The sequence below is a fragment of the Homo sapiens genome, chromosome 10, assembly GCF_000001405.40.
Source record: "Homo sapiens chromosome 10, GRCh38.p14 Primary Assembly".
Classification (NCBI taxonomy): domain Eukaryota; kingdom Metazoa; phylum Chordata; class Mammalia; order Primates; family Hominidae; genus Homo; species Homo sapiens.
The window spans coordinates 114,495,460-114,509,442 of record NC_000010.11 but is presented as its reverse complement, the minus strand read 5'-3'; the positions used below and the strand labels follow the sequence as shown (position 1 = coordinate 114,509,442).

Here is a 13,983-nt window from a genome sequence, read left to right as displayed (position 1 = left end):
GCACGGGAGGAAGGATAATAAGAGCCTGGAGACCGACTGGTGGGACAAGGGGAGCAAAGAGCTCCTTGGTTGCCTCAACAAATACTGCCTGAGCCCTGACTGCTTGAAGACACGAATGGCCACAAAGACCAGGGTCCAGTACCTTGGAGGCTGCTGGCGCCTCACCCTGACTCGTCCTGGGAGTCCTTTCTCACACCGCACTCTCCATGCTGCTTCCTCACCAGCACTTGACTGTATCAAGCAGTTTGCCCTCCTTATGTGACCCTGGTTGTCATAGCCTGGGTAGCTCCAGGGTGTGCGGTTTAGAGTTGTCTTTTCCTCCTGCTCTCCTGAGCTGCTCTCCGCATTCTCCATACGAATTTATTCTCATTCTAAATTTCCCAGTCATTAAAGACAACTATGTGCCTCTCTTTGCTCATCTGTAACATGGGGATAGTAATGGTAACTTGATGTTCCTATCTCATGATCTGTTGTGAGTATCCAGTGAGGAGAGATATGTGAAAGTACTTTATAAACTGAAAAGCATAGCACAGATACTGACTGTTGCTATCTTCATCTGTTTGTAGAACTTTCAATTAAATACAACAGTTTAGGGCTCAGGGACAAAGTTTAATCACTGTGTGGTGACCACTCTGTCAATGCAGTATTTTCCTATATAAGGCTTGTTTAATTCACAGTAACTGCCAATGAAGATGTCCTAAACCATTCCCATTTTACTCTTTCTTATTTTTAAAAATATTTTTGTGGGAACGTAAAGTCAAGGTCTCACTTTGTTGCCCAGGCTGGAATGCAGTGGAGAGATCATGGCTCATTGCAGCCTTGAACTCCTGGGCTCAAGCAATCCTCCTGAGTAGCCAGGACTGCAAGTGCGCAACCACACATGGCTAATATTTTGAAATTACTTTTTATAGTGACAGGGCTTTGCTGTGTTGCCCAGGCTGGTGTCCAGCTCCTGGCCTCAAGCAATCATCCTGCCTCGACCTCCCAAGTTGTTGGGATTACAGGCATGAGCCATTGCATCTGGCCAATATTTTTTATCTTTTTTCAGGAAAATAGAATTTTGGAGCTAGAATGTATCTTAAAGGTCCTTTAATGTAACCATCTCCTCCTGCAAATAAGGCGCCTGAGAAATGGAGATATTAACCCAGCCCAAGGTTTCACAAGTTAGGACCCAGGTTTCCTGACTTCATCCTAGGGCTCTTTGACCTGGAAAGTTCTTCCTTTATCACTGGGGCCATCTCCTAAACAGGGTAAATTTGTGATACGTTTGTCCCACTCAGGTAGAAAAAAAATTTTGTAATGTCATGAAATGCAACAAAGCCTGGTATTTCAATTGAATGCCCTTAAGGCTCAGTAAAGGGTTTCTGAGTCCAGACTGCTGAGCAACGGGGATGGAAGCCTGGCCCAAGAGGTACCCCAGCATTTCTTTGCAGAGCAGCTGCTTTGGCTGGGAAGCTGGGCTTTTCTTTCTTTCTGTTGTCAGAGGAACCAGCTAACTTAGACTAAGGTCAGCAGACTTTGCCTTGGAGTACCTGGATGCCTTTACTCCAGAACTCAGGGGGGTCTGCTGCCTTGAGGGACAACACAGACTTTTCATCAGCCTAGGTTGCACAGCCTAACACTTGGAGGGTCACCCCAACAGCCATGTGACTGTACACAGTGGAACCCACAGTTCACAAATCACCTGTTGATATAAGTGGGTTGGGCTGTCTCCCTTGAGTCTCAGTGTCCAGCCATGGCACGGTCCCTAGATCTCCTCTAACAGGCCCTCCTGTCACCTGACTGTGACTGGCGCCTGGTACAGCAGGTGTGGCTGGCAGGGTGCCCGTTTGCACAGCACTCCCTGCTTATCCTGGCTCAGGTCTCTGAGGCCTGCCCTTTCAGAAGAATCCAGACGACTTGGGGCAGGGCAGGCACCCACCCAGCATGTAGAGGTCTGGAATGTGAATTGTGTGTCTCTTTCTTTGTGGGATACAGAAATTCTTTGGTTGTCATCCAAAGGTGTAAGCCTTGCCTTAAAAATATTCTCATTTGGGGCATTGCCAAGCCTGGGGGTCCTGAATTCTTTCATATGTCTTCGTTCCTTCTTCAGATTTATTTTTCAGTCGGTTTTTTGCTTCCTTTTCATGATTGGAACCACTACTCAATGATTGTTAGATACACCACTCCTCACTGTTCCCAGTGAAATCACAGAATTTGTGCTAGGTAAATTCCAGGCTGGAAGGCATAGTTGTTTATTAAAGGAGATGAAGTCCAGCCACAATAGGAGAGGAAATCAGACAAGGATGTTTTTAAAAGCAAGCTGTGTTTTTCTGACTGCTCCAATATTCATTCCCACCCTGAAGGCTCCTCTAACCCTGGGGAAGAAAAAATATTTTTAGTCTGATAGTGTACTATAGAGCTGAACCATCTGTAAAACAGTCTTGATAACTCAGAGGAATGGTTTTAGTGGAAATAACTTGTAAAGGATCACCCAAGACTCCAAAGCTAAGGCATCAACTACCCACAGAGCACCGGTTCCTACCCAGCTCCCATGAAGTCCTTTAAGATTTATTTTAGAACCATTGCAGCCAAACCAGAAATTGACAAGTGGGACTTAATTAAATTAAAGAGCTTCTGCACAGCAAAAGAAACTATCGACAGAGTAAACAGACAAGCTACACAATGGGAGAAAATATTCACAAATTGTATATCTGGCAAAGGTCTAATATCCAGAATCTGTAAGAAACTTAAACAATTAAAAAATAAATAACCCTATTTAAAACTGGGCAGATACTTCTCAAAAGAAGCCAATTTGCAGCCAACAAATATATGAAAAAATGCTCATCATCACTAATCATTAGAGAAATGCAAATGGAAACCACACTGAGATACCGTCTCACACTAGTCAGAATGGCTATTATTAAAAAGCCAGAAAACAGATGTTGGTGAAGTTGAGGAGAAAAGGGAACGCTTATACACTGCTGGTGGGAGTATAAATTAGCTCAGCCACTGTAGAAAGCAGCATGTAGATTCCTTAAAGAACTTAAAACAGAGCTACCATTTGACCCAGCAATCCCACTACTGGGTATATACCCAAAGAAAAATAAATCATTCTATCAAAAAGACACATGCACTTGTATGTTCTTTGCAGCACTGTTCACAATAGCAAAGACATGCAGTCAACCTAGGTGCCCATTCATGGTGGACTGGATAAAGAAAATGTGGTATCTATACACCATGGAATACTACACAGCCAAAAACGGAACAAAATCATGTCCTTCGCAACAACATGGATGCTGCTGGAGGCTGTTATCCTAGGTGAACTAATACAGGAACAGAAAAATACCTCGTGTTCTCACTTATGAGCAGGAGCTAAACATTGAATACACATGGACACAAAGGTGGGAACAGTAGACATTAGGGACTACTGGAGGGGAGATGGTGACAGGGGAAGTGGGTTGAAAAACTACCCATCAGTTACTATGCTTACTACCTGGGTGATGGGATCATTCATACACCAGACCTCAGCAACATGCAATTTACCTATGTGACAAACCTGCACATGTACCCCTTGGACCTAAAATAAAAGTCAAGAGAAAACAAGACCTTTTTAAGAATAGAAATACTGAGGAAGGAAATAAGAGCAGGGTGGGATGGGAAAATATTTATAATTCATGGGGGAAGGAGAGCTATCACAGAGCTGGAATGTACTTTAGAGATAGCAATATGGTGACGAAAAGCAGTTGACAAACTAGAATCCCACTGAATTGGGATCAGCCATTTGCTGCATACTGTAAAACAAGTTTAAACATTTTTAACTTAAAAAGCCTGGCTTCTGAATGCTTATTGCAACTTACAAAGTCATGACTAAGATATTAAATAAAGGGCACTTGTTATGTTATCTGATACTGCCCTATTCCTTCCCACCAAATGCACTTAATTGTACTATTTGGCAACTAGGAGATGTGTATTGAGAACTGATTCCCTCAGAGCAGCTGGCATGGGAGCGATTCTTTGGATTGCTGTTATTGTGCATTCCTGACTCCAACATGCTATTGTGTTGGAAAGGAGGCCAGGAATGAGGTCATGAGTAAGAAGAAACCTTAAGTTTTTGCCCTTGCACAAGAGACAAAAATTATCCAATTGGAGTTAGATTTCAAGAGTGTTGAACTTGAAGGCAAATATTTATCTTCTGGTGTTAAGAAAGGAAAGGATGTGAAACCTTTGACCTTGAGTGTTAGGGCAGTGTCTGAGTTTGGAAAGCAGTTGTCTGAAGCCAGAAGCATGATGAATTTCTCATTGTTCCTTCCCTGGAACTATGCTAATATTTTTTACCACACGCTGAGCAGCACCAGCCGACTTAATAGCCTGCTCAATGTCACATTCCATTGGATTTGGGGTCTCTCCCTCTGGGGTCCAACTTCCTGAAGATACCCCTTTAGAATTCTAGGTAAGTGTTTGGAAAGAAAATGGCTTAGAGTCATCTGGTGTTTTGCAACCTACTTCATCCTCTCTCCATGTCATATGACTCAAAGTGAATTTATAAAGAATTAACATTTCTCTTATCTACACAGCAACCTTGCAAGCTAGGCAGAACCACTACTTTATACCCTTTTAACATTATGGAACATGTAGCTTTTCATGGTCTGAGGATTTTTCAGAAAGTACATAGCATTGGGGCATATAAACAGCTAAGTCCAGGTATATCCAGTCATCCTGAAAGTTCAGTCCAGCCTAACAGATTGATCAGACCTCCCCCTTTTTATCATTCTTGATGTACATGCAGAAACTGGGGTAGCCCTTATAACACGTCAAAAATCAAACAAACCATTGTTTCTGGTCCCAGGGACCAGAATCGTTTTCCTGGCCACATTTTCAAATTATCATCACTTAAAGTGACTTGCTATTTTTCAAGGGATGGCCTTAGGAAGATCCACTGGATCTTACCAGGCGGTTAGCTTCTGTATTCCCTCATGATAATTTATGGAAGGAAAAAAAGAATACTTACTTTAAACTGTCCAAACGACTAAAGTAATTTCTAGTTCTTCTGAGCCTTAACATGTAGCAGGATGTTGGGGGAGTGGGGAATGGACTTAGGAGAAAACCTTAGATTTGAACTCTAGCTCTGTAACTTTGGAGACTTTTCTTAGCCCACAGACAGGCATAAGAATAACAGGCGCCCACCAAGTGTTGGATGGATTAAATGTGAACATACTTTCTAAACATTCAACTACAGAACAAGTACAAAGGGTATTGTTAACAAAAGTAATTGATAAGGGAAGAAATATTTAAGCTCAATCAGGAGAGGAAAAAGTTGATCGTTTGGTAACCACCGCCAAAGTCCTCAAACTTCTAAACCCAATTTTTTTGTGTTTTCAGTGAGCCTTGGTCCTGACTAGAAGAAGCCAATTTTGAGGCTTCATGACAAACACTTACAGAAAGTTATCCAACTATTGCAATGTCAACCCTTGCTTGCTAATATCAGGTCAATTTAGGAATTAAATATGGAGGTTATTCGCATGCCATCCATGTCTCTCCATCAGTTCAAAGGATACCAGCAACAGAAGGATGAAGATGAAAGGAGGATTGAAAATTGTTCAGTGGCACTCTGGAGGTCCTAGAATAATGGATACCTGATGAGATTAAACTGCACAGCTTTTACTTAGAGACCATTTTATAAAGATCATTCACTTCACAGAGGTTAGAAAAACACTTTGAGAATCCATTTGGCAAAGTGCTGTTAATATGATTCTTCTTACTTAATTCCTTTAAATTCCTCTTGGATTAAAATTGTAATACAAAGCAAAAACCACTTTGGACCATGGTTTGGCAGTAGCTACTGAAGCGAAACATAAACATATCCTATGACCTTGCCACATACTCTCTATTCCCATGCATATATATGTATATATATACAACTGAAATATGTATATAATTTACCAAAAGACATGGGCAGGAATTTTCATAGCAACACTATTCAGTACAGCCAAAACCAATTTTTTTTCTTTTTTTTCGGAGACATCTCTTTCTGTTCCAGGCTGGAGGGCGGTGGCATGATCACGGCTCACTGCAGCCTTGACCTCCCAGGCTCAAGCAATCCTCTCACTTCAGCCTACCAATTAGCTGGGACTACAGGCATGTACCATTATGCCTGGCTAATTTTTGTATTTTTTATAGAGATGGGGTTTTACCGTGTTACCCAGGCCAGTCTTGAACTTCTGGGCTCAAGCGATCCACCTGCCTCGGCCTCCCAAATTGCTGCCAAGGCATGAGGCACCATGCCCAGAAAAGCAGCCAAAATTTTTAAGTTACCCAAATGCCCATCAATAGTAGAATGGATAAATAAAATCTAGTATATTTCCACAAAGGAATTGAGATTTAGTGAAGTATGACTACACACACTAACATGGATAATTCTCACAAAGTGTTGAGTGAAAGAAGTCAGACATATTTGCTTCTATTGATGGAAACTGAAAACAGGCAAAGCTAGCATGTGGGGTTAGAAGTCAACATAGTGATTGGAAGGCATAGTCATCATTGGAAGAGGACACAAGGGGGTTTCTTAGTGCAGATAATGTTCTTTTCTTTTTTAATTTGGGTGCTGGTTATAGAGTATGTTGCATTTATGAAAACTTATGAAGCTGTGCACTTAGAATTTGTGCATTTTTCTCAATGCTATACTGCAATAAATAATTTTACTTAAAAATTTGGCCAGGTGGGTGGATCACTTGAGGCCAGGAGCTCGAGACCAGTCTGGCCTACATGGCAAAGCCCCGTCTCTACTAAAAATACAAAAATTAGACAGGCATGGTGGCGCATACCTGTAATCCCAGCTGCTCAGGTGGCTGAGGCACTAGAATCACTTGAACCTGGGAGGAGGAGGTTGCAGTGAGCCAAGATCGCACCACTGCACTCCAACCTGGGCAACAGAGTGAATCTCTGTCTCAAAAAATAAATAAAATAAAATAAAATAATTAAAAAGGCATACCTCTTTCCCCCTACAAAGAAGGTGGGGGGAGGTGTATTGCAGACTTTCTACCTACCTTGTAAGAGAGAGTTGATATAACATGTAAAATTTATGGCTTTTTTTTGCTGGTGAAGAAAAGAAAAAACTCTATAGAACAGGATGTAGCAAGTGCAAAGGAAATGCCTGGTCAGGGAACATCAGATTCAGCTAACTCCCAAGGAAATTCAACACCACATCCTCAGGTCCCTGGTTACCCTCCAGACTGTGTTGTATTCCTGAATAACTTACCAGAAGAGACTAATGAGAGGATGATGTTTCATGCTATCATATCAGTTCCCGCTTTCAACAAAGTATGTTTGGTACCTGGGAGACATGACATTGCTGTTGTTGAATTTGAAAATGATGGACAGGCCAAAGCTGTCAGGGATGCTTTGCAAGAATTCAGGATCACAGCATCCCATACCATGGGGGTCACCTATGTCAATAAATAATACTGAGGGATGAATAGGTGGAGCACAGAGGATTTTTAGGGCAGTGAAACTATTCCATATGATACTATAATGATGGATACATGTCACTATAAATTTGTCTAAACCCATAGAATGTGCAATACCAAGAGTGAACACCAGTGTCAACTATGGACTTGGATGATAATGATGTATCAATGTAGATTCATAATTTGTGGCAAATGCACCACTCTGTTGGGGGACGTTCTTAGTGGGGGAGACTGTGTGTATGGGAGAAGGGATATATGAGAACTCTCTGCAGGTTCCACCCAATTTTTCAGTGAACCTAAAACTGCTCTAACAAAGTCTGCTAAATTTTAAAAAATACATTTGGAATAGTTGTCTTTAAAGCACTTGGTGTTGTTTATAGTGGTACTTTGCTTCGTTTTTTGTAACTTTTGATTAGGCCATTTTAATAGTTGGGAATGGGAAGGGTAAAATTTTCGTTAAGGACTTACAACATGATCTAGTCGTTAGCCTTGCCAAACTGTGAAATATGAAGGCTCGATTTTATATAATAAACTTTTATTTGTATCCTTTAAAAAAGTTGAAAGAGGATATATAAAGTCATGGGAGATCTGCTTTGCCAGTGCAGATCTTGACTAGAGCCTTCCCAATATTAACTGAGCTCCTGAGGCCTGGGAAAACAACATTGGCTCTGTTGGACAGTCTCTAGAGTTGGACAGACCTGGATTCAGATCATAGCTCCATCCCTTGCTAACTGAGTAGCCTTGGGTGATTTCCTGATCTCTCTAAGTTTTGATTTCCTCATCTGTGAAATGGGCATATTACCTACCTCACATTGTGGCTGGGAGAGTCAGGTGGGGTAAAGTTTGTGAGGTGCCTATCATGGTGTCTGGAAACAAGCAAATACTGAAACTATAGCTGAGGCACAGAAGAAGTTGATCTTTTACTCATCTTTTGGCCAAAGTAATTGTATAGGGAATGGTTGCAAATCTATTTAGAGGTTTCTGTTGGCATATTAATTCACTGGACACTTCTAGAACACCTTCTTGTGGGAAGCATGGAGGTGTAGAGTTATGAAGATACAGGTGTGGCCCAATTCTTTAAGGGAATTTATAACCTAGTGGGAAAGAGAGGAAGAAAGCTCACCTGCTTTGATTGGCACCAGTTACTTTGCTACCAACTTGCCTTTGTTTATTTAACTTTCATAACAATCCTACGTAGTAGGCTCCCTTCCCTTCCCTTCCCTTCCCTTCCCTTCCCTTCCCTTCCCTTCCCTTCCCTTCCCTTCCTTTCCCTTCCTTTCCCTTCCCTTCTCTTTCTTTTTTTTTTTTTTTTTTCTTTCGACACAAGGTCTTCCTCTGTCACCTGGGCTGGAGTGCAGTGGTGCAATCATGTCTCACTGCAGCCTCAACCTCTGGGCTCAAGTGATCCTCCCACCGCAGCCTCCCCAGCTGCTGAGACTATAGGCAAGTACCACCATGCCCAGCTAATGTTTGTGTTGTTTGTAGAGATGGGGTTTCTCCATGTTGCCCAGGCTGGTCTCAAACTCCTGGGCTCAAGTGATCTGCTGGGGTTACAGGCACAAACCATCGCACTTTGGCCATAGTAGGTTTTCTTATACTAGTTTTTACAGGTGAAGAAATGAGTCCAGAAAAGTGCCCAAAGTCCAATTTTCAGTCTAGAATTTAGGCCCTGGGTTCTCTTGCTCCCAAAGCCCATGTCTTTCTACTCTATGATGAAAGTTAGAGTATAATGGTTTATTTCTCCCTAAACTAGTTTATGCACCCTTACTCAGAAGGATAAGCTGCTGACCCTTCCTCTGACATAGCACACGTGTTTAAAGCAGTGTTTGTGAGCTCAGAAGCCTCGCAGTTAGTAAGGCTGTAGGGCTACAGGATGTTCTCATTTGTGCAGATTGGCTTTGCACAGACTTGTATAGAGCCCTCTAGGCTTTGTGAAAGCTGCCTGGGCAGACTGATTTATTCACCTTTGCCCAGGATACATATTTACGGCCAAGGCACGCCCTCATTATCCTGCCTGTTCATGATGCTGCATCAGGAGAAAAGCCTCCTGGAACAGGTGAGTGTTTAGCTTAGAGATCAAGCCAGTCCAGTTGCATTGGAAGCCTCTCCCAGTTGAGGGTGAAAAAACCAGTAGACGCAAAAAAGCTGAGTCAGCCTCTGCACTGCCTTTCTGCAGGAGCATAACAGGGAACTTGCGTGATTCTGCCTCTCCCTTCCGCCCATGCACCTGCCACGTAAGCAGCACATCTCTGTTACTCCCTTTGGCTTCCTCATCTCTTCATCCACCCTCAGGTTTGTGGTTTTGGTACCACCCAGACCAGTGTTTTCCCATCTCATGGTGATCTGCATAGACTCATTTCAGTGCTTATAAAATAAAGACACTCATATCTGGGTCCCACCTTAAGGCCATCGAACCCATTTTTAAAAGGCTTCTTGGGTGTTGCTTATGCGCAATAATGTTAGAAAACTCCTGATCTAAAGCAACCCACCAGCCTCTAGGTGTTTGTATATCCTTAGTCTGAAATCACCATCCACCAGAGCTGTGTTTGGGAGAGTCTTAGGGACTGGAAAACAATTTGCTTATTCCTTTGGGGATTCTAAGCACCATCTCTGAATCAAGTTAGATCTTTTAAGATAAAACAAGAAACAAAACTACACACATAGTCCTCGATAGTTTAACTTCCTCTATGGAAGTGACTTCATTTAGTGATCTTTCAGTGCTACGTCTTTGGTATTTCTCAAGGGTCTATATGAGAAACAACTACTTAAATACTTCCTATCATCAGTGAAATTCCTGTGGAAGATGTTTTTCTGTCCCATAACTGAGGGTCCCTGTATGAGAATTCCTTTGGTGCTTTTAGGAGGTAGTTTAACAGGGTTAACGTGTGGACCTTGAGTCAGCTACCTGGGTTCTACCCCTAGCTCTGTCTTCTGGAAGCACTGGTGGGTTTGGGTAAAACAATTTAGTTTCCTTGCTTGTAGAACAAGACTGGAAAATAGCACCGACCTACCTCATAGGGTTGTTGTGAATCATTTAAAGTCTTGATACAAAGCCTTACACAAAGCAAGACCTTATAGAACTTCAGCCCACAATGACTGTTATTAACTTAGAATCAGGAAACCTACCTTCTGTAGTGACAAGTGTGTGTGGCCATTTTTTCAAACAGTGAGACTTTGGCAGCCTATCAGTTCCTCTTTTGCCCTCATCTGCTAAGAAGCTCACATCACAACAAACATGTTTGCCTGAGCTTGGGTCTTTTGAATTTTAAGGTTCTTGATCAATTGTTTTAAAATCATGTCCTTCTCTGATAAGAATCAGCCAGTCCTTTTTGAAAGTAGGCAGAACATAAGTTATAAGTGGATTAAGGTTGAACTTCAGGGCCATCTTCCCATCTCCTGGGCTCATGCCACAAGTAGAGCACTCCTAGAGAAATGGAGGCGGTAAAGGAAAGAAACTAAAAGGGACTGTCAGCAGTCCAGGAGCTAAGCAGGTTATCAGATGAGCAGATTTTCTGTCCAAGGATGGGTTCTAGAATTACAATTCTCTTTTTCTGTTCCCAGGAGCATATTACATGGGCTCAGGGCTTAGGGCATTAGAATTTCTCCTGGGTAACAGACACGGAGGAATCATTGGTTAAACTCCATTTTTCTGCCATCAAGAATGTTCTTTCTCTACCAAAATTGCTCTTCTGTTAGCACTACTATGTGAGCTTGTAGAGGGTATGGGATTTCACACCGAAACATAGAATTTTACAGCTGAAGAGGACTTGAAATTGTCTAGCCCGGCCCTTTGCATTTTTGAGATGTGTGTCCTGAGGCTTGGAGATGTTAAATAGTGACATATTTGAGGCCCTATGGATGGTAAATTGAGGTATGATTCTCAGACTTCCTGATTCCAAAGCTTGTAGCCCTTTCCCTGTACCTCATGTCCACAAAGAATTCGGAACTCTTTTCTGCTCTTCCAGACAAAGGGTTTCATAAAAAATGTTGTGACTTACACTAAATTTTGCATTAGAGTAGATGTTATTTCCCCAGAATCCTGGTTTGTATGCTAAAGTTCATACTTCAATTTAGAGATTAACTAAATAGCAATAATAACTACAGATGTCTGATTTAACCAGCACTATTAAAGGCAAACAATTTTTTGCACTTCAAATGTGTAGGCAGGTACTTTGTAAAACTCACCTAAATAAGCAAATTGTCAGTTGTTCATAGAGTTTCATGCTAGCCACAGTGTAGTCTTTTTATAAAAGCATTTTGAATATGTGAAAATGCAGAAATGGGGACGTGATTTTTTTTTTTTTTTTTTTTTTTTTGAGACAGAATCCGGCTCTGTTGCCCAGGCTGGAGTGCAGTGGTGCGATCTCGGCTTACTGCAAGCTCCGCCTCCCGGGTTCGCGCCATTCTCCTGCCTCAGCCTCCCAAGTAGCTGGGACTATAGGCGCCCGCCACCAAGCCTGGCTAATATTTAATATTTTTTTTAGTAGAAACGGGGTTTCACCGTGTTGACCAGGATGGTCTCGATCTCCTGACCTCGTGATCTGCCCGCCTCGGCCTCCCAAAGTGTTGGGATTACAGGCATGAGCCACCGCGCCCGGCCAGAAATGGGGACGTGATTTTTTTTAAGGAGCAGGGTACAAAGATAGATGGGGAAGAGCAGTGATGGCGCTCTGGTGAGCTCTCTAGCAGCACCGCTGGCCACTCAGGCTCAGGCAGGACGGCTGCCAGTTATGTGCCTGGGGCCAGGTATCTGGTAAACCAACCTTCATGCCGTTGTCTGCCACAACAAAGCTCCTGCTGGGCTTTAAAAGTTTATAGTCAACAGCATCCTCTCTGCAGTGAATTGCAAGCTTATTATCTGTTTCTTATATGAGCGCTATTTAGTCTTTCATTTTGCTCATGATCTGAAATACTTCTCCTTCTCCTAAAAATAACTCCAATTTAAATGATTTTGATTCAGCAACATCTGATTTTTGGTAAATTTGCATATGCACTGCCGTCTGTGTTCAGCTCTGTTACTTTTCCTGGCCTTGTGCACATGGCTTCTCTGTGAACCATCATGGGTGCCTATGTAAGGAGAAATGAAACAGAAGGGTGTCTCACACATGCGAAGGAGGGCCTCCTTTGTCTTGAGCATCTGACCCTGGAGCCTCTCAAGCCTGCACTGCTGCAAAAACAGAACGACTCCTCAATGCCTTTTGACTCTGGCTCACCGAATGTCTTGACATGTTCAGCATCTTGGGATGAAGGAAATACATAGGTCAAGACATCCCTGGCATTACAATGGGCTAGGGTTAGGTTTTTTAGCAGTGTTTTCTTTTTATATAATTATTTTATTTTATTTTTAAGTTCCATAGTACATGTGCAGGATGTGCAGGTTTGTTACATAGGTAAGCATGTGCCATGGTGGTTTGCTGCACCTGGCAACCCATCACCTAGGTATTAAGCCCAGCATGCCTTAGCTCTTTTTCTTAATGCTCTTCCCCCGCCACCCTCCCCCAACAGGCTCCAGTGTGTGTTGTTCCCCTCCCTGTGTCCGTGTGTTCTCATTGTTCAGCTCCCACTTGTAAGTGAGAACATGCAGTGTTTGGTTTTCTGTTCCTGTGTTAGTTTGCTGAGGATAATGGCTTCCAGCTTCATCCATGTCCCTGCAAAGGACATGATCTCATTCCTTTTTATGGCTACATAGTATTCCATGGTGTATATGTAGCAGTGTTTTTACTAATGATTTATAGAGCGAAGTCCTGCCACATGGGGCCTTGATGTAACTTCCATTCATCTTGTGAGTTGATAGAACTCTTATAAGTTGATGTAATTTCCCTTCATCTTGTGAGTTAATAGAACACAGTGACTCTCCTATGCCTGCCCAGGGCATCCAGAGAGCCTTTTACTGGCATCCAAACCACACTAATGTGCCTTCTTTTTGTGAATGACCTTGGGACTGTCTCTGAGCAGAGAGTTATTACATTGTTATTCGTATCATTATTGTTATTACTTTGTGCAATGTGTCACACCATTTTCAAAATGTCTTTTGGTCATCACACCAGTATCATTGTGAGGTAGTTACAGCAGTGACATACTGTATGGTTATTAGTGGTGGTACTGGGTAAGAACACTCACTCCAGAGCCAGACTGCCTGGGTTTGCATCCTGGTCCCACCAGTTCTAACTGTGACTGTAAAGGAGTTATAAAATCTCTTCAGGCCTCAGCTTCCTCATCTTTAAAATAAGGATAATAATACTTCCTGCCTTCTTAGGTTATTGTGACACAAATTGACTAAATGTTTATGGAGTACGTAAAAGAGTAATTGACACAGAATAATCACAGTATCATCACCAGCACTACCATCAATGTCAGCAGCAGCAGCAGCAGCAGCACCGTCATCACCACCACATCATCGTCACCACAATATCATCATTACCATCATCATCACCATCATTGTCTTCATTGTTGTCATCACTGTCACCATCATTACCATCACCTTCACCATTATCACCACTACTATCATTATCACCATCACCATCACTACCATCATCAT

General features: G+C 42.3%; 1 protein-coding gene across 56 annotated transcripts in view, besides 4 other annotated features; it reads left to right on the top strand.

Annotated features, from left to right (window-relative positions):
- Positions 1–13,983, top strand: part of ABLIM1 (actin binding LIM protein 1) — a 370,264-nt gene that overhangs the window by 291,931 nt on the left and 64,350 nt on the right.
- Positions 1,779–2,073: a silencer, noted in NCBI's record as "tiled region #9264; K562 Repressive non-DNase unmatched - State 24:Quies". NCBI's record gives its function as "represses a minimal TATA promoter and a strong SV40 promoter by Sharpr-MPRA in K562 cells {active_cell/tissue: K562}" and the evidence as "EXISTENCE:reporter gene assay evidence [ECO:0000049][PMID:27701403]".
- Positions 9,002–10,201: an enhancer, noted in NCBI's record as "CDK7 strongly-dependent group 2 enhancer chr10:116259001-116260200 (GRCh37/hg19 assembly coordinates)". NCBI's record gives its function as "activates an origin of replication core promoter dependent on BRD2, BRD4, P300/CBP, MED14 and CDK7 cofactors, with strong dependence on CDK7, by STARR-seq in HCT116 cells {active_cell/tissue: HCT116}" and the evidence as "EXISTENCE:reporter gene assay evidence [ECO:0000049][PMID:35650434]".
- Positions 12,426–12,525: an enhancer, noted in NCBI's record as "active region_4083". NCBI's record gives its function as "activates an Ori minimal core promoter by ATAC-STARR-seq in GM12878 lymphoblastoid cells {active_cell/tissue: GM12878}" and the evidence as "EXISTENCE:reporter gene assay evidence [ECO:0000049][PMID:35858748]".
- Positions 12,656–12,735: an enhancer, noted in NCBI's record as "active region_4082". NCBI's record gives its function as "activates an Ori minimal core promoter by ATAC-STARR-seq in GM12878 lymphoblastoid cells {active_cell/tissue: GM12878}" and the evidence as "EXISTENCE:reporter gene assay evidence [ECO:0000049][PMID:35858748]".